This window comes from Homo sapiens, chromosome X (genome assembly GCF_000001405.40).
Source record: "Homo sapiens chromosome X, GRCh38.p14 Primary Assembly".
NCBI lineage: Eukaryota > Metazoa > Chordata > Mammalia > Primates > Hominidae > Homo > Homo sapiens.
Window position 1 is genome coordinate 47415562 of NC_000023.11, and position 1435 is coordinate 47416996.

Genomic DNA, 1435 nt, shown 5'->3' on the forward strand with positions numbered 1-1435 from the left:
TGATACAGAAGGTTTTTTAACTTTATTAAGTATTGACATTTCCCTTCCAAATTGTATTAATTTATACTCCCATGAGCAGTTTGAGAAAGTTTTCATTTTGCCATTCAGCAGCACTTATTATCAGTCCTTTAAATTATTGCCAATCTGTAAGGTCTGAAATGGCTTTGAGCCTTGGCTTCCATGAATGTGGTTTGTCTTTCTTTCTTTTGTTCTTTTCTTTTCTTTCTCTCTCTCTCTCTTTTCTTTTCTTTTTTATTTTTATTTTTTGAGATGGAGTTTCACTCTTGTTGCCCAGGCTGGAGTGCAATGGCGTGATCTCGGCTCACTGCAACCTCCGCCTCCCGGGATGGAGCAATTCTCATGCCTCAGCCTCCCGAGTAGCTGGGATTACAGACACGCATGACCACACCCAGCTAATTTTTGTACTTTTAGTAGAGACGGGGTTTCACCATGTTGGCCAGGCTGGTCTCAAACTCCTGACCTCAGGTGATCTGCCCACCTCAGCCTCCCAAAGTGCTGGGATTACAGGCGTGAGCTACTGCGCCTGGCCTATTTATTTATTTGAGACAGAGTCTCACTCCATCACCCATGCTGGAGTGCAGTTGTGCAATCTTGGCTCACTGCAACCTCTCCTTCCTGGTTCAAGTGATTCTCGTACCTCAGCCTTCCGAGTAGCTGGGACTATAGGTGCACACAACCACGACCACCTAATTTTTGTATTTTTAATAGAGATAGGGTTTTGCTATGTTGGCCAGGCTGGTCTCGAACTCCTGACCTCAAGTGATCTGCCTGCCTCGGCTTCCCAAAGTGTTGGGATTGCAGGAGTGAGCCACTGCACCTGGCCTGTCTTTATTTTTTAACTCATCTTTCCTATCCTTCAATAGTATTTTGTGGTTTTCTCCAAGAAATTGTCTATGAAAGTTAATTTTTTAATAGCAGTTTTGCATTTATACAGGTATACATATATATATTTCAAAATATAATGATGTTGTGGGGTTTATATATATACTTACATATAATATTTGTGTCTCTCTCTCATACACAGACACATCTCCCCACACAACATTTTTGTTTGATGTGGGCAGTTTTAATTTCATTTTACCCAAATATTTACCACCTTGGTTGCACTTCATTACTTTCTGCGTTTCATCCAGGATCATTTTCTTCTTTGCCTGAAAAATACTCCATAGAGTATCCTTTAGTAAGAGTCTGTTGCTGGTGAGCCTCTCAGTTTTGTCTAAAAATGTTTTTCATTGTACCTTTTGTCACTGGCTGGGGCCGGCATCACGGGTGGTAAAAGAATTTACCAAGACAGTCATGAATTAAAGAAACCAAGTCTATTAGAGGGAAAGTAGGTTGCAAGGAGGCAATGGGCAGCACAGCAGAGAAAGGGGCTGTCTGCAAAGAGGCAAGAGCTGGAGGGAAGTTGTATAGG